We start from the raw sequence: 19,082 nt of genomic DNA on the forward strand, positions 1-19,082 counted from the left end.
TGTTTTCTAGATCTTGTAAGCATGCTTCATCCTTTTCTATTCTTTTTTCTATTGTCTTCTCTGATTGTGTATTTTCAAATAGCCTGTCTTCAAGCTTACTAATTCTTTGTTCTGCTTGATCAATTCTGCTATTAAGAGACTCCGATGCATTCTTCATTATGTCGATTGCATTTTTCAACTCCAGAATTTGTTTCTTTTTAATTACTTCAATCTCTTTTTTTAATTTATCTGATAGGATCCTGAATTCCTTCTCTGTGTTATCTTGAATTTATCTGAGTTTCCTCAAAATAGCTATTTTGAATTCTGTGTTAGAAAGACCACATATCTCTTTCTCTCTGTGATAGGTCCCTGTTGCCTTACTTACTTCATTTGATGAAGTCATGTCTTACCGGATGGTCTTGATGCCTGTGGTTGTTCACTGGTGTCTAGACATTGAAGAATTAGGTGTTTATTGTCGACTTCACAGTCTGAGGTTGTCTTTACCTATCCTTCTTGGGAAGGCTTTCCAGGTATTCTAAGGGACTTGGGTGTTGTGATCTAAGTTTTTGGTCACTGCAGCCATATCTGCATTAGGGGGCACCCCAAGCCCAGTAATGCTATGACTCTTGGTGGTCTTGGAAAAAATCTGGAAAAATTCTCTGAATTACCAGGCAAACACTCTTGTTCTCTTCTCTTACTTTCTGCCAAACAAACAGAATCTCTCTCTCTCTCTCAGTGCTGAGCTGCCTGGAGCTGGGGGAGGGGTGACACAGCGCCCCTGTGGACACTGCCACTGGGACTGCACTGGGTCAGACCTGAATCTTGCATAGCACTGGATCTCACCCAAGGCCCGCTGTAACCTGGCTACCACCTATGTTCACTCAAGGCCCTAGGGCTCTACAACCAGCAGGTGGTGAAGCCAGCCAGTCTTGTGTCTTTCCCTTAAGGGCTGCAAGTTCCCCCAGGCCCCATGTGGGTCCAGAGGTACCATCTGGGAGCCAAAGCCTGGAGTCAGAAACCTTAGAAATCTACCTGGTGCTCTATTTTTCTGCAGCTGAACTGGCACTCAAACCACAAGACATAGCCCTTTCCACTCCTCTCTTTCCTTTTCACAGACAGCGGAGTCTTTCCCTGTGGCCACCACCACCACAGGCCCGCAGTGAGTGCTGTCAGGCTACCATTAATGTTCACTTAAGGACCAAAGGCTTTTTAGTCAGCTTGTGGTGAATGCTGCCAGGCTGGGGACTCACCTTTCAGGGCAGTTGGTTCCCCTCTGGCCCAAGTCAAGTCTAAAAATGCTGCAAATGCTGTCCAAGAACCAATGCCGGGAACTGGGGACCCTAAGAGGCTGCTTGGTACTCTACTCCACTGTGGCCAAGCTGGTACCTAAGCTGCAAGACAAAGTCCCTTTTACTCTTCCTTCTGCTTTTCTCAAGCAGAAGGAGTCTCTCTTTGTAGCTGCCACAGCTGGGAATGTGCTGGGTCACACATGAAGCTGGCACATCTCAGAGTCTCATCCAATGCCATGGTGTGTACTGCTTAGCTACCTCTGCTGTTTATTCAGGGCCCAAGAGCTGGTGATGAATCCTGCCAGGACTGGGTCCTTCTCTTCAAGGCAGCAGGTTTCTTTCTGGCCCAGGGTGTGTCTGGAAATGTCGTCTAGGAACTAGGGCCTGGCATGGGGGCCTCAGGACTGCCCAGTGCCCTTTCTGCTGTGGCTGAGCTGATATCCAAGTTGCAAGACAAAGCCCTTTGTATGCTTCCCTCTCCTCTCCTCAAGCAGAAGGAAGGAGTCTCTTTCATAGCTGTGAGCTGTGCTGCCTAGTGTTGGGGAGGGGTGGCACAAGCACTCCATTAGCTACCCAGGGTAGTGTCTCACTAGGTTGAATGCCACCCCTGTCCACTGTCTCTGAGCCCAGTACAGCACTAGATCTTGCCTAGGAGTTGCAGTCTCTGTGGCCTAGACTATCTTTCAAGTTTATTTCGGACTCCAGAGAACTTTAGCCTGTGATGGCAAGGTCTGCCAAAACCCATGTTCCCACCATGAGGATGGGCAATTCCCTCTGACTAGGGCTGCTCAAAATGTTCCCTCTGCGGGCGTCATCTGAGTTCTGCCTGGTGTTGCTTTCCGCTGTGACAGGGCAGCACTGAATTCCGACGGAAAGTCCCACAATCACTGCACTCTGTCTCCCCAAAGCACACAGATTCGTTGTCTGCACTATGCAGCCACTACCGAGATGGGGAAGGGGTGACGTTGGCAACTCAAGACTGTCTTTCCCACCGTCTTCAGTGTCTGTTTCCTTGATATGATGTTAAAACTAGATACTGTGATTACTCACTTGATTTTTGGCTCTTATGAAGTTGCTTTTTTGGGTAGATAGTTGTTAAATTTCATGTTCCTATGGAGAAGAAGATTGGTGGAGGCTTCTATTCACTCATCCTGTTCTGCCTCCATCCTCAAACTAGTTTTTTAAAGCATGTGAATTGACTTTTGTATGGACTTTGTATCCTGCAGGTATAATTTTTATTAGTTCCAGGAGTTTTTTTTTTTTCTGTTCTTTAAGATTTTCTAAACAGTCATTTATGTCATCTGCAAACAAAAACCAGTTTTATTTATACCATCCCAATGTGAATGCCTTTTATTTCACTTTCTCATGTTAGCTAGCATTTCCAGTGCTAAGTTGAGTAGAAATAATGAGAGGAGACATCCTTGTCGTGTAGGCAATCTTAGGAGGAGAGCATCTAGTTTCTCACTGTCAAGTTTTTGTATGCTTTCTTTAGACTCTCTTTATCAAGTTTAAGAAGGTCCCCTCTGTTGCTAGTTTGCTTTGAGTTTTTAGCATGAATGAGTGTTGACTTTGTCAAATGCTTTTCTTGCATCTACTATATGATTTTTCTTCTTTAGCCTGTTAATTTGGTGGATTATATTAATTGATTTTTGAATTTTGGACCAGCCGTGCATACCTGGAGTAAATCTCATTTAGTCATGGTGTGCAATTCTTTTTACCCATTGTTGGATTTAAAAGGTCTGTAGCTTTCCTTTCTTGTGATGTCTTTGTCTGGTTTTGGTTATTAGGGCAATGCTGGCTGGCTTCATAGAATGAGTTGGGAAAAATTCCCTCTGCTTCTATTGGAAGAGTTTCTAGAGAATTAGCATTATTTGTTCCTTAAGTGTTAGCATTCACTAGTCTAAAAAGAAAGTCATTGGGCCTGGTGCTTTGTTTTGGAAGATTATTAATTATTTTTCCAGTTTATTTAATAGATACAGCTTTTTATGTGAATTTGACTTCTACTTTTAATTACATTGTGGTTTGAGACCATACTTTGTATGATTTCTATTCTTTTAAATTTTGTTAAGGTGCATTTTATGGCCCAGCATATGGTGCATCTTGGTGAATTCTTATGTGGGACTGAGAAAAATATGTATTCTCCTGTTGTTGGATAAAGTAGTCTATAAGTATCCATTAAATCTAGTTGATTGATTAGTATAGCTATGTCCTTACTGATTTTCTGCCTGCTGGATCTGTTAATTAATGATAGAGAGGTGTTGAAGTTGCAAGAGATAATAGTGGATTTTTCTATTTCTCTTTGCACTTCTATGTTAAGACATATATGTGGCAAAACTAGTTGTAAAAATGCATGGGAGGCCAGTCACAGTTGCTCAGACCAGTAATCCCAACACTTTGGGAGACCAAGGTGGGAGTATTGCTTGAGCCCAGGATTTCAAGGCCAGCCTGGGCAACATAATGAGACCCCCATCTCTTATTTTTAAAAAATCTTTTCAAAAGAAAAAAAGTTACACGGCTTATTGAAACTTAGTTAAATGAAGATAAATTAAAACATGGCAGATTAAGTACGTTTATTTATCTCTATTCTCTCCCAGAATCTTACCAAAATGACAGGGAGAAAAAAAATTTTTTAAGGTTACAAACCTATAAAGTCAAAAATTGGAAGGGAGGCAAGAACAAAAGACAGAAAACAGAGGGGGAAGTGGTAACTGAGTAGTGTTTAGCAATTCTGTTAAGTAAGTGCTTATAGAAGATAATTCTAATGCATCAGCAAGATGGTAGAATTGGAGTTCTCTGGCCCAACTCCCCACATCCCTAGAAATCCAGCTAGCAACTATCCACAAACAAGAATACCTTTGCCAATATCCAAGAACTCAGAAGTGAGGCTGAAACACCCCATTGGACTGCAGAACTAAGAAAAGCCATATTCAAAGGGTAAGAGAAATTGTTTCTCTTTGATCATGTTACGTGTCTCCCAAGCTACACAGTGCCACACACAGATTCCCCTAGGCCCACAGTTTCCCCCATGGGGAAAGATAGTGGAGCTGGATATTCAACTTTCCCAGCATTCTGGGACCCTTCACAGGAGGCTTAGTCGTGTCTCACCCCACAGGACACATTGGGAGTACCAGCAGGGCTAGACCACCTGGGATCAGTTAGAAATGAAGAACAGGGCCTGGAGCATACAGCAACCAGCACGTGATATTAGTAATGCCTCTGCATTCTGGCAAATGGGGCACCACACCAGAGGGACTAGCCAACAGCATCACTAGCCAACAGCATCACAAGAAACACGATCCATAGGTCAGCTGCACGTCGCTAGCCAGCTTCCCCATCTAGCCCCAGCATTCTCCTTAAACCTTCCCCAGGCCAGAAGGCAGGTGCAGGTCTGTGTTTTCCTCTGGAGGGAGCATCTGGCCCTACTCAACAGCAGAAGTAGAGCAGTGTTTTGAGATACGTCCCATCAATACCTAATTTATTGAGAGTTTTTAGCATGAAGGGTTGTTGAATTTTGTCAAAGGCCTTTTCTGCATCTATTGAGATAATCGTGTGGTTTTTGTCTTTGGTTCTGTTTATATGCTGGATTACATTTATTGATTTGCATATATTGAACCAGCCTTGCATCCCAGGGATGAAGCCCACTTGATCATGGTGGATAAGCTTTTTGATGTGCTGCTGGAATCGGTTTGCCAGTATTTTATTGAGGATTTTTGCATCAATGTTCATCAAGGATATTGGTCTAAAATTCTCTTTTTTGGTTATGTCTCTGCCCGCCTTTGGTATCAGAATGATGCTGGCCTCATAAAGTGAGTTAGGGAGGATTCTCTCTTTTTCTATTGATTGGAATAGTTTCAGAAGGAATGGTACCAGTTCCTCCTTGTACCTCAGGTAGAATTCGGCTGTGAATCCATCTGGTCCTGGACTCTTTTTGGTTGGTAAGCTATTGATTATTGCCACAGTTTCAGCTCCTGTTATTGGTCTATTCAGAGATTCAACTTCTTCCTGGTTTAGTCTTGGGAGAGTGTATGTGTCGAGGAATTTATCCATTTCTTCTAGATTTTCTAGTTTATTTGCGTAGAGGTGTTTGTAGTATTCTCTGATGGTAGTTTGTATTTCTGTGGGATTGGTGGTGATATCCCCTTTATCATTTTTTATTGCGTCTATTTGATTCTTCTCTCTTTTTTTCTTTGTTAGTCTTGCTAGTGGTCTATCAATTTTGTTGATCCTTTCAAAAAACCAGCTTCTGGATTCATTAATTTTTTTGAATGGTTTTTTGTGTCTCTATTTCCTTCAGTTCTGCTCTGATTTTAGTTATTTCTTGCTCAAAATAATAAGAGCTATCTATGACAAACTCACAGCCAATATCATACTGAATGGGCAAAAACTGGAAGCATTCCCTTTGAAAACTGGCACAAGACAGGGATGCCCTCTCTCACCACTCCTATTCAACATAGTGTTGGAAGTTCTGGCCAGGGCAATTAGGCAGGAGAAGGAAATAAAGGGTATTAAATTGGGAAAAGAGGAAGTCAAATTGTCCCTGTTTGCAGACGACATGATTGTATATCTAGAAAACCCCATTGTCTCAGCCCAAAATCTCCTTAAGCTGATAAGCAACTTCAGCAAAGTCTCAGGATACAAAATCAATGTACAAAAATCACAAGCATTCTTATACACCAATAACAGACAGAGAGCCAAATCATGAGTGAACTCACATTCACAATTGCTTCAAAGAGAATAAAATACCTAGGAATCCAACTTACAAGGGACGTGAAGGACCTCTTCAAGTAGAACTACAAACCACTGCTCAATGAAATAAAAGAGGATACAAACAAATGGAAGAACATTCCATGCTCATGGGTAGGAAGAATCAATATCATGAAAATGGCCATACTGCCCAAGGTAATTTATAGATTCAGGTGCCATCCCCATCAAGCTACCAATGACTTTCTTCACAGAATTGGAAAAAACTACTTTAAAGTTCATATGGAACCAAAAAAGAGCCTGCATCGCCAAGTCAATCCTAAGCCAAAAGAACAAAGCTGGAGGCATCACACTACCTGACTTCAAACTATACTACAAGGCTACAGTAACCAAAACAGCATGGTACAGCTACCAAAACAGAGATATAGATCAATGGAACATAACAGAGCCCTCAGAAATAACGCTGCATATCTACAACTATCTGATCTTTGACAAACCTGAGAAAAACAAGCAATGGGGAAAGGATTCCCTATTTAATAAATGGTGCTGGGAAAACTGGCTAGCCATATGTAGAAAGCTGAAACTGGATCCCTTCCTTACACCTTATACAAAAATCAATTCAAGATGGATTAAAGACTTAAACATTAGACCTAAAACCATAAAAACCCTGGAAGAAAACCTAGGCATTACCATTCAGGACATAGGCATGGGCAAGGACTTCATGTCTAAAACACCAAAAGCAATGGCAACAAAAGACAAAATTGACAAATGGGATGTAATTAAACTAAAGAGCTTCTGCACAGCAAAAGAAACTACCATCAGAGTGAACAGGCAACCTACAAAATGGGAGAAAATTTTCACAACTTACTCATCTGACAAAGGGCTAATATCCAGAATCTACAATGAACTCAAACAAATTTACAAGAAAAAAACAAACAACCCCATCAAAAAGTGGGCGAAGGACATGAACAGGCACTTCTCAAAAGAAGACATTTATGCAGCCAAAAAACACATGAAAAAATGCTCACCATCACTGGCCATCAGAGAAATGCAAATCAAAACCACAGTGAGATACCATCTCACACCAGTTAGAATGGCAATCATTAAAAAGTCAGGAAACAACAGGTGCTGGAGAGGATGTGGAGAAATAGGAACACTTTTACACTGTTGATGGGACTGTAAACTAGTTGAACCATTGTGGAAGTCAGTGTGGCGATTCCTCAGGGATCTAGAACTAGAAATACCATTTGACCCAGCCATCCCATTACTGGGTATATACCCAAAGGACTATAAATCATGCTGCTATAAAGACACGTGCACACGTATGTTTATTGCGGCACTATTCACAATAGCAAAGACTTGGAACCAACCCAAATGTCCAACGATGATAGACTGGATTAAGAAAATGTGGCACATATACACCATGGAATACTATGCAGCCATAAAAAATGATGAGTTCATGTCCTTTGTAGGGACATGGATGAAATTGGAAATCATCATTCTCAGTAAACTATCGCAAGAACAAAAAACCAAACACCGCATATTCTCACTCATAGGTGGGAATTGAACAATGAGAACACATGGACACAGGAAGGGGAACGTCACACTCTGGGGACTGTTGTGGGGTGGGGGGAGGGGGGAGGGATAGCATTGGGAGATATACCTAATGCTAGGTGATGAGTTAATGGGTGCAGCGCACCAGCATGGCACATGTATACATATGTAACAAACCTGCACATTGTGCACATGTACCCTAAAACATAAAGTATAAAAAAAAAAAAAAAAGTAGAGCAGTGTTCCAACCAAGCCCTGGTGCTTTCCTGAAGCCTTCCCCATACCAGGAGGCAAGTGTAGGTCAGCATTTAGCTGCATAGGGAGTATCTGGCCTCACACAACACCAACAGCTGAGTGGCGACTCTACCACGCCTTGATGCTGTGCTTTTCTGTTTTTAAATTTTAGATTCAAGGTGTATGTGTGTAGGTTTGTTACACGGATATATTGAGTAATGGTGATATTTGGGCATCTAGTGTACCCATTACCCAAATAGTGAACATTGTACTCAATAGGTAATTTTTTAACCCTCACTCCCCTCCCACCCTGTCCCTTTTTGGAGTCCCCACTGTCTATTATTTCCATCTTTATGTCCTTGTGTACCTGTTGTTTAGCTCCCACTTACTTATAAGTGAGAACATGCAGTATTTGATTTTCTGTTTCTGAGTTATTTCACTTAAGATAATGGCATCCAGCTTCCTTTATGTTGCTGTAAAGGACATATTTTATTCTTTTTTATGGCTGCATAGTATACCATGGTGTATAAGACTACCCTGGATCTAAAGATAAGCTCAGCCAATGCATATGTGTGGAGCATAGCCTCTGGCCCTGTCCACTTTGTAGACCTCACCTAGCCTTAGATCCCAGCATGCAGCCCTGCCCAACTACAGATTCCAAACAACAATACAATAGGTATGTGAAAAAAAGTGCAGCATCTCTAATCATTAGGGAAATGCAAATTAAAAGCACAATGAGGTATCACCTCATACCTATTAGAGTGACTTTTATCAAAAAGACAAAAGATAAGAAGTATTGGTAAAGATGTGGATAAAAAGTATCCCTGGTACGTTGTTGTTGGGAATATAATTTAATATAGCCATTATGGGAAATGGTATGGAAGTTTCTCAAAAAACTCAAAATAGAATTACCAGCAATCCACTACAGCTACCAGTGGGATCCAGCCATCCCACTTCTAAGTGTGTATCCAAAGGAATGGAAATCAATCTGTGGAAGGGATAATCTGCATTCCCGTGTTCACTGATTCACAATAGCTGAGATATGGAAACAACCTATGTGTCCATCAGAAGATGCATGGATAAAGAAGATGTGATATATATATACACACAGTGGAATACTATTCAGCCTTCTAAAAAGAAGGAAATTCTGTCACGTGCAACAACATAGGGAAACCCGAAGGACATAACACTAAGTGAAATGAGCCAGGCATAGAAGGACAGATACTGTATGATCTCACTTATATGAAAACGCTAAAAAAGTTGACCTCGTAGAAGTAGAGAGTAGAATGATGGTTACCAGAGCTAAGGTGGGGGAGGGTGTGAAAAGGAGGAAGTATTAATCAAAGGGTACAAAAGTTCAGATTTACAGGAGGAGTAAGTTGTCAGATTATTGTGTATCAGGGTGATTATAGTCAATAACAGTAATATATATGTATTTTATCTTTATTTTAAATTTTATTTTAAATATATATATATATTTATATATATACAAAATAAAAATAAAATAGTAATATGGTAGGAACTCCCCAGTGTGCATTCAGCCCTTTTTTCCAGCCCTCCTCCCTAAATATGGAAATATATATCCTCTTGACAAGATAAGAGAGGATTCTTCTTTGGATTAACTGATCAGACCTACTTAAAAGAACTTATATTATGAGGTGAGGGGAGAAACATAGTGGGTCACAATGGAAGCAAGAGGTGTCATATGCTCAGTGATAAAGCTAACTCACACCTTGTCATGGCTCCTCTCTTAAATATTAGTGTACAGTGAAGGACCACCAGAAAATTACAGAAAGCCTACAACATGAAAGTCAGATACCTAACTCAATACCAGAAAAATGGAAATCAGAAGAAACAGCACAAAGCAGGGAGCAAAAGAAAACTTCACACAAAATATACAAAAAAAAAAAAAAAAAAAGTGTGTAGCAGACTTGAGCCTGTCTATAGACCCAAAAGCCCTTAAATAAAGAGGTGGCTGCATCCTCTTCAGGAAGGACCTTTATACACCATAAAAATTTATGTTGTTAATCTTTTTCCCAGCCTACCTCAAAGGGACCTGTGGCCTCTAACCAGGGTAACTGTACATTGGGGAAAAAAGGAAATATCAGACATTTCACAGATTACTGGCCACTGGCTCTGAACTGACACTGATTCCAGGAGATCCAAAATGTCACCATGGGCCTCTATCAGAATGCGGGCTTATGGAGGTTAGATGATCAATGGAGTTTTAACTTAGGCCTATCTCACTGTGAATCCAGTGGTCTCCAAACCCATGCTGTGATTCTTCCTTCAGTTCTAGGATGTATACTTGGGATAATACTTAGCAGCTGACAGAATCCCCATATTAGTTCCTGTCCTGTGAAGTGAGGATAATTATGGTGAGTAAGGCCATGTGGAAGCCATTAGCACTGCCTCTACCTTGGAAAATAGTAAATCAAAAGCAGTGCTGAATTCCTGGAGGCATTGCAAAGACTAGTGCCACCATCAAGAAACTAGAAGATGCAGGGATGGTATGATTTCCACGTCCCTATTCAACTTATCTATGTGGCTGGTGCAGAAGACAGATGGATCAGTGGACAGTGGGTTGTCATATGCTTAACCAGGCAGTAATTCCAATTGCAGCTGCTGTACCAGATGTGTTTCATTGCTTGAGCAAATTAACACATTCCTTGCTACATGTTTTGCAGTTATTGATCTGGCAAATGCTTTTTTTTCCATCCCTGTCTATGAGGCCCAACAGAAACAGTTTACCTTCCATGGGCAAGGCCAGCAATACACCTTCAATGTCCTACCTCAAGGGTATATCAATTCTCCAGCCCTATGTCATAATTTAGTTTGGAAGCATCTTGGTCACCTTTCCCTTTCATAAGATATCACACTGGTCCATTATATTGATGACATTATGTTGATTGGACATAGTGAGCAAAAGTGGCAGTGACCCTAGATATATCGGTAGGACATTCACAAGCTAAAGAGTGAAGAAAAAATCCAACTCAAATATGGGGCCTTCTACCTCAGTGAAATTTCTTGCAGTCCAGTGGCATGAGACCTATCAGGATATCCCTTCTAAGGTGAGGTTAATTTGTTTGCATCTGGCCCCTCCTATAACCAAGAAAGAGGCACAATGCCTAATGGGCCTCTTTGGATTTTGGAGGCAACATATTCCTCATTTGGGATTGTTATGCTGGGCCATTTCCCAGGTAGCCCAAAAAGCTGTGAGTTTTCAGTGGGACCCAGGATAAGAGAAGGCTCTAGAATAAGTCTAGGCTGCTGTGCAGACTGCTCTGCCACTTGGGCCATTTGATCTAGCAGATGTCAGTGGCAGATAGGGATGCTATGTAGAGCCTTTGGCAGGCCCTTATAGGTAAATTGAACCACACTCCTTTTGTATTTTGGAGAAAGGCCCTTTCATCATCCTTGGATAACTATTCTCCTTTTAGGAGACAATTCTTGGCCTACTATTGGGCTTTAGCAGAGACCGAATGCTTGATCATGGGCCAACAAGTTACCATGCAACCCTAGCTGTCCATCATGAACTGTTACTTGACCCAGTGAGTCATAATGTTGGACATGCACAGCAACACAATACTCCATTATCAGATTGAAGTGGTATATACATGATTGGGCCCTAACAGGCCCTCAAGTGACAAGTAAATTTTAGGGGAAGTGGCCCAAATTTGCATGGTTCCTACTACTGCTACACTGTCTTCTTTCTCCCCATTTGCACCTATGGTCTCATGGGGCATTCCCTACAATGAGTTAACAGAGGAAAAGAAGATTTGGGCCTGGTTTACAGATGGCTTTGCATGCTATGCAGCAGCACCAAAAAGTGGACAGCTATAGGAACATAGACCCTTTCTGGGCACCCCTGAAGCAGAATGCTAAGGGGAATTGACCCAATCTCTGGCCTGCATCACTGCCAGCTGACTACAGAGGCCTTGGGTTTTGGAGAAACCTCAGCAGCAGGCAGATCTTAGAGGCTGTGGACTTCAGATGCACCCCATCACTACACCATCTTCAGTGGCCAAGAGTTTCCAGCTTGGTGCTGTACCAACTGTGATGGTCCTGGGCTTAAGGTGCCCCCCAGTGTTTCAGTGGCTGCCATGGTCATAGGTTTGTGGGCCACACCAGCTGACCCACCTAGAATCTCTGGACAGGCTTACTGTTGAATTGTTTTCCCAGACAAAACTATACTGTGAAGATTGGAATAAATATCTACTACTTCAATGCACAGATATCAATGCATGACCAGAAAGATCAAGAAAAATCAGGGAAATATGGTGTCCCCAAATGGACAAAATAAAGTGCCAATGACTGGCCCTAAAGAGATAGAGATGTATGAACTGTCTGACAAATAATTCAACATAACTGTTTTAAGGAAGCTCAGTGCACTTCAAGAAAATACAGAGAAACAGTTCAACAAAATGAGAAAACAATACATGATCAGAATGATAAATTTAACAGAGATTGATTTTTTTAATCAAACAAAAATGCAAGTGCTGAAAAATAAGTGAACAAAGTGAAAAATGCAATAGAGAGCATCAACAGCCAGTTGATCAAGGAGAAGAAAATATCTGTGAACCTGAAGACAGATTACTTGAAAATATACAGTTATGATGGAAAAAAAGAATGAAAGGAATGAAGAAAGCCAGTGGGATTTATGGAACAGCATCAAAATAGCAAATGCTTACGTCATTGGGGTTTAAGAGGGAGTAGAGAAATATAGTGGGGTAGAAAGTTTATTTAAAGAAATAGGAAACTTTTGAAACCTGCAGAAAATTATAATTATCCAGGTACATAAAGATTAAAGGTCATCAGTCAGATTCAATCCAAATAAGACTACCCCAAGACTTATTGTAATCAAATTGTCAAAGATGAAAGACAAAGAGAGGATCCTGAAAGCAACAAGAGAAAAGAAGCAAATAACATATGAGGGAGTTCCAATACACCTAGCATCAGACTTCTCAGCAGAAGTCTTACAGGCAAGAAGGGAATGGGATGATATATTCATATTCAAAGTGCTAAATAAAAAAAATGCCAACCAAGAATACTGTGCTCGGCAGGCCATCCTTCAAAAATGAAGATTTTCACAGGCAAACAAAATCTGAGGGAGTTTATCACCACTAGACCTGTCTTACAAGAAATACTAAAAGGAGTGCATTGAGCTGAAAGAAAAGGATGCTAATGAGTAATATGAAAACATCTGAAAGTATAAAACCAGTGGCAAAAATAAGTCAAATTTAGAATATTCTCATACTGTAATGATGGTTTGTAAATCACTTACTGTATAAAGGTTAAAAGCCAAAACTATTAAAAATAACAACCACAATAATTTGTTAAGGTATATGCAATATAAAAAGATGTAAATTGTAAATTGTGAGGAAGAGTAGAGTAAAATATAGAAAAATTTCAATCTAAGTTAAGTTGTTATTAGCTCAAAATAACCTATTATAACTATAAGATGTTATGTGTAAGCCTCATGGTAACCACAAAGCAAAAACCTGTAATAGATTCACAAAAATAAAAGGGAAGGAATAAAATCATACTACTAGAGAACATCTCTTAGCCAAAAGAAAGATAGTAAAACAGGAAGAAAAGATCTATAAAACAACTAAAAAACAATTTTAAAATGGAAGTAGAATTACATTGAATGTAAGTGGATTAAATTCTCGAAAGACATAGAGTGGCTGATTGGACTGAAAAATAAGACCCAATTACAAGCTGCCACTTCACCTGTGAGGACACACATAAACTGAAAGTAAAGGGATGGAAGAAGAAGAAATGACCAGACATGCTATTATATACCAATTCATGGGCTGCAGCCAATGGTTTGGCTGGATGATTAGGTACTTCAAAAGAACATGATTGGAAAATTGGTGACGAATAAATATGGGGAAGAAGTATGCAGATAAACCTTTCTGAATGTGCAAAAATTGTGAAGATATTTGTATCCCATCTGAATGATCACTGAAGAGTGATGTCAGCAGAAGAAGATTTAACAATTAAATGGATAGGATGACCCATTCTGTGGATTCCAGTCAGCCTGTTTCTCCAGCCACCATTGTCATCACCCAATGCACGCATGAAAGAAAGTAGCCATGGTAGCAGAAATTGAGGTTATTCATGGGCTCAGCAACATGGACTTCCACTGACCAAGGCTGACCTGGCTATGGCCATCTCTGAGTACCCAGTCTGCCAGCAGCAGATATGAACAGTGGACCCCCAATATGACATCATTCTGTGTGGTGATTAGCCAGCTACCTGGTGGCAGGCTGACTACACTGAACCATTTCCATCATGGAAGTGCAGTGTTTTGTTCTTACTGGAATAGACACTTACTTTGGATATGAATTTGTCTTCCCTACACATAATCCTTCTGCCATAATTATCATCCATGGACTTACAGAATATCTTATCCACTCTCATGGTATTTCACAAAGCATTTCTTTTCAAAGCAAGAGAAGACAGCACTGGATCCATGCTCCTGGAATTCACTGGTCTTACCATGTTCTCCAGCTGGCATGATAGAATAGTGAAACAGTCTTTTGAAAACTCAATTACAGTGACCCCAGGTGGCAATACCTTGAACGGCTGAGCAAGGTTCCCCAGAAGGCTGTATATGCTCTGAATCATGCCTAATATATGGTGTTGTTTTTCTGATTGCCAGGATTCTCAACTCCAGGAGTCTGGGTGGAAATGGGAGTGGCACCACTCACTATTATCCCTAGAGACCTATTAGCAAATTTGTGCCTCCTGTTCCCAGGACTTCATGCTCTGCTGGCCTACCACCTCACCACTTTGGGCTCCTCATGGCTCTGAGTCAACAGGCAAAGACAGGAGATACTGTATTTGCTGGAGTGATTTATCCAGACTACCGAGGGGAAGCTGGACTACTATTCCACAATGGAGATAAGGCAGACTATGTCTGAAATACAGGAGATCCCTTATGCATCTCCTAGTATTACCATGCTCTGTGATTAAGGCCAATGGAAAACTATAAGAACCCATTCCAGCCAAAACTACAAATGGCCCAGACACTTTAGGAATGGAGATTTGAGTTATCCCTCAGGTAAAGAACCATGACCAGCTGAGGTTCTCACAGAAGGCAAAAGTAATACACAATGGGTAGCAGAGGAAGTCAGCTATAAATACCAGCCTATAACCACATAACCAGTTACATAAATGAGGAATGTAATTGTCATGAGTATTTCCTCCTTATTTTGTTAAGAATACATTTGTGTGTATGTCTATATATATATATAGACACACACACATATATTAAACAAATATATTTGTTTCCTTCCTCTCTTATCCCCTTATTGTGTAACATAACATGTATTAACTTTGTATTTAAGTATTGTTAACTTTTTACCATATAATTTAAGTTACAGAATATTGGGAGAAGAGTAAACATCACTCAAGGACTTTAACCTCCTCTTCTGGAGAAAAGAGTAGTGCATTTTCAGTTGTTGTGCAGGATAGTTGTACCATGTTAGGTACAATTATGACCTTGTTATTGTCTTTATTTGGAGATACTTTGAGATGCTTATGGGTGCCAAGTTGACAAGGAATGGACTTGTAATGGTTAGTTGTATGCATCAACTTTACTGGGCTAGGGGATGCCCGGATAGCTGGTAAAACATTATTTCTGGGTGTGTCTGTGAGAGTATTTCTGGAAGAGATTAGCATTTGAATTGGTAGACTGAGTAAAGAAGATAACCCTCCCCAGTGTGGTTGGGCATCACGCAGTCCACTGAGGGCTTGAAAAGGACGAAAGGGCAAAAGAAGAGCGAATGCACGCTGTCTTCTTGAGTTGCAACATCCATCTTCTCCTGCACTCAGACATTGGCATTCCTGCTTCTCAAGCCTTCAGACTTGGACCAGGACTCACACCACTGGCACCCCAGTTTTGGGGTCTCTGGACTGAGACTGAGACTTACTCTGTTGGTTCTCCTGGTTCTCACACCTTTGGACTTGGACTGGAACTACACCACTGGCTTTACTGGGCCTCCAATCTAGTAGACAGCAAATCATGGGACTTCTCAGCTTCCATAATCATGTGAAAGGCAACCACTCATAATAAATCTTTGTCTATTTCTATATATCCTAGTCTATTCTCTGGAGAACACTTACTAATATGAATAGCATCTTCACAAAAATAAGAGACTATATATACTAGGATGCTATACAGTGGAAAGCCAAAAAATTTCTGAAAAGCGTATAGTCACAGTTTTAAAAATTAAAATTTGAAACAAAATGATTGATAAGGAAAATTGAAAAAGAGCAGTTTGCCCTGTCCCGTCCTGTTTATGCCTGTAGATAACCAATTGTCCATTCAAACAAAACAGTCATAAATGTCTAGTTACAAGGTGTCTGCATATGTGAGGTTATTATATAATCAGTGGACAATGTAGCAAAATGATACTGTGATTTAAGAAATTGTAATTGGAACCAATGTTAGAGCCAGGTGATGTGGCTTGCAAAAAGTGGAAATTACACTGAGTTTCTTTTTGGCATGGTTTAAGGCATAAGAGGTTTGGTGACAGTTCTACAACTGCCCTAACTTGAGGTCCGCTTCACCTGGGTCCTGCTGAGTGGGCACAGTGTTATCATCACCAACCCAAGTATGTATTCATTAAGAAAATGAGTGACTCAAGCAGTGCTGACTGAACATCTTTCAACCTGCTGTCATTTGGATTGTCCAGCTGAGAAACTCTGCTCAGAAATGTTCAGTACTTCTAAGATATGTCAGAGTGTTTGCTTTTATAAATTACTCCATGTTCCCACTTCAAAAGATAGACTCTGCCCTGTCAAATTTTAGGTTAGCAAGAAAAAAGAAAGATCCCAAAAACTTACAGGACAACCATTTAAATAATAAAAATGAATCTATCACCTGACTTTCTCATTAGTGATTCTGATTATCAAAGGACAGGAGAAAATGCCCTCCCCCTAACCTGTTATTCATCAGGTGTGTAAAATAAAGCTCTTTTCAGATATTCAGGGTCTCAAAAAATGTATGTTTATACATCCTTTCACAGGAAGGTGCTAAAGAATGTGCTTTAGCATAACAGAAAAGATCAAAGCATGAGATCCTGTAAATGGCGGCTAAGAGAGACAGTAATGAAGGGAAACCCCAGGAAACAAGTACTGGATTATCTCTGCCTTTATCACATGGAAAATATTATAAAATGCTATTTTAACTACCTTCTGGAAAACTAACCAAAAATTTTAAACAAAACAAGTATTAACTCCAGGAAAATTTATGTATATGTATGTATGTAGAGAGAAGAAAACATACTCATAGTAGAACTGGTTCAATAGTAAGCAGTATTTACACAGTAAATCTAAACAATATAAACACTCTATTCATTTAACTAAAAAGTTAATATAACTAATTTGAGAGGTGGAGAGAAGATGTATAAGTAGGCATGGTACATGAGAGATACATCTTCATCTGCCATATAAGAAGGCAATAGGGCTGGCTCTGGGTACACTGCCTAGGAGTTAGCCCTGCTCCACAAGCAGCAGTAATAAAAGAGAAAAAAGAAGGTAATAGATAATGTATAAAAATTATGTATTAAGAAAGAGCATATAAGAATGTTTACTTGAGGCCAGGCGCGGTGGCTCACGCCTGTAATCCCAGCACTTTGGGAGGCCGAGGCGGGCGGATCACGAGGTCAGGAGATTGAGACCATCCTGGCTAACACGGTGAAACCCCATCTCTACTAAAAATACAAAGAATTAGCCAGGCGTGGTGGTGGGTGCCTGTAATCCCAGCTACTCAGGAGGTTGAGGCAGGAGAATGGCATGAGCCCGAGAGGCAGAGCTCGCAGCGAGCCCAGATCGCACCACTGCACTCCAGCCTGGGCGACAGAGAGACACTCTGTCTCCAAAAAAAAAAAAAAAAAAAAAAAGAATCTTTACTTGAGAATACAGAGACAGAAACAGCTGCAAGAGTCAAGATTGTGTTCCTTTGGGACCAGAGTGAAGAATGACAATGTGGCAGTGGTTGCATTTTAATATTATTTGTCTTATCCAGATTTGTATTGATAAAAATTAAAAATGTTTTAAAGATGATAGATATCAACTGTACAAGATGGATCAGATGAGAGAGAGATCATTTTATTCTCTTTTCTTTCTCTTCTTAGGACCTGGCGTATTGTAGTACCAATGACAAAAGATGATGCACTAAAGGAGATTAGAGGAAACCAAGTTACTTTTCAGGATTGCTTTATTGCAGATTTTCTTATTCTGTTGACTTTTCCTTTGTTGACCATACCTGAAATTCCTGGTTATTTACCAATCTCCTCACCACGTGGTAGTCAATTAATGGCTTCCTGGGATGCTTGTGTAGTTGCATCTGCTGTTTTGGTGACAGATATGGAGACCTTTCACACAACTGATTCATTCAAATCTTGGACCAGAATCAGAGTGCCTCCAGACATTCTGAGTGATGATGAAAGACGGAGTGTGGCTCATGTGATCTTATCGCGGGATGGAATCGTTTTTCTTATAAATGGTGTTCTTTACATAAAGAGTTTTCGTGGATTTATAAGACTGGGAGGAATTGTAAATCTTCCTGATGGTGGAATTACTGGCATTTCATCAAGAAAATGGTGTTGGGTCAATTATTTATTAAAGGTTAGTAAAAGATATTTTATATTTTATAAATATATTTATATTTTACAAAGGTATTTACCATACCATTTACTCAGTGATAAACAGAGACTTACTATGCAGCTCTTTGCCCAGTTGTTTTATCTAAGGCTGTAAACAGCTCTAACTCAACTTCTCAGAGACCTCTTTACAGTAGAGATACACCCCCAACAACTAAAAATAAAATTAATCTTGTATGTTATTATGTAGTTCAGTCATGAGAGCTTTGTTTTACCTTGATATGGGCAAAAGACCCAAAAATTATTTTCCCCAAACAAAGATTATATGAGCTGCCCAAAATGAATAATGAGTTTTTGTTACCTGCATAGAAAGTGTAATGATCAAGTCAGGGTCTTCGGGGTATCCGTCTCCTTCAGTGTTTACTGTGTCTATGTGTTGGTATCATTTCCTCTCTCCTAGTTACTTTGAAATGTTAAAAATATTGTTGCTGGCCGGGCGCGGTGGCTCACACCTGTAATCACAGCACTTTGGGAGGCCGAGGCGGGCAGATCACAATGTCAGGAGATGGAGACCATGGTGAAACCCCGTCTCTACTAAAAATACAAAAAATTAGCTGGGCGCAGTGGTGGGTGCCTGTAGGTGGGTGCCTACAGTGCCTGTAGTGGTGGGTGTCTCAGCTACTCGGGAGGCTGAGGTGGGAGAATGGCG

At 40.5% G+C, this 19,082-nt stretch overlaps 1 protein-coding gene across 23 annotated transcripts in view; it reads left to right on the forward strand.

The window, feature by feature from the left end:
* The window catches only part of CATSPERE (catsper channel auxiliary subunit epsilon), a 189,263-nt gene that overhangs the window by 83,175 nt on the left and 87,006 nt on the right, over positions 1–19,082 (forward strand). For all 23 annotated transcript variants that reach the window (XR_001737095.2, XR_001737096.2, XR_001737099.2 and 20 more), the window contains one exon: positions 17,906–18,398. Coding sequence is in view for 20 of the 23 variants with exons in the window: in XM_011544138.3 (XP_011542440.1) it covers positions 17,906–18,398 (493 nt within the window). In the remaining 3 variants the exon portion in view is untranslated. The remainder of the gene's footprint in view (positions 1–17,905; positions 18,399–19,082) is intronic.

This window comes from Homo sapiens, chromosome 1 (genome assembly GCF_000001405.40).
Source record: "Homo sapiens chromosome 1, GRCh38.p14 Primary Assembly".
NCBI lineage: Eukaryota > Metazoa > Chordata > Mammalia > Primates > Hominidae > Homo > Homo sapiens.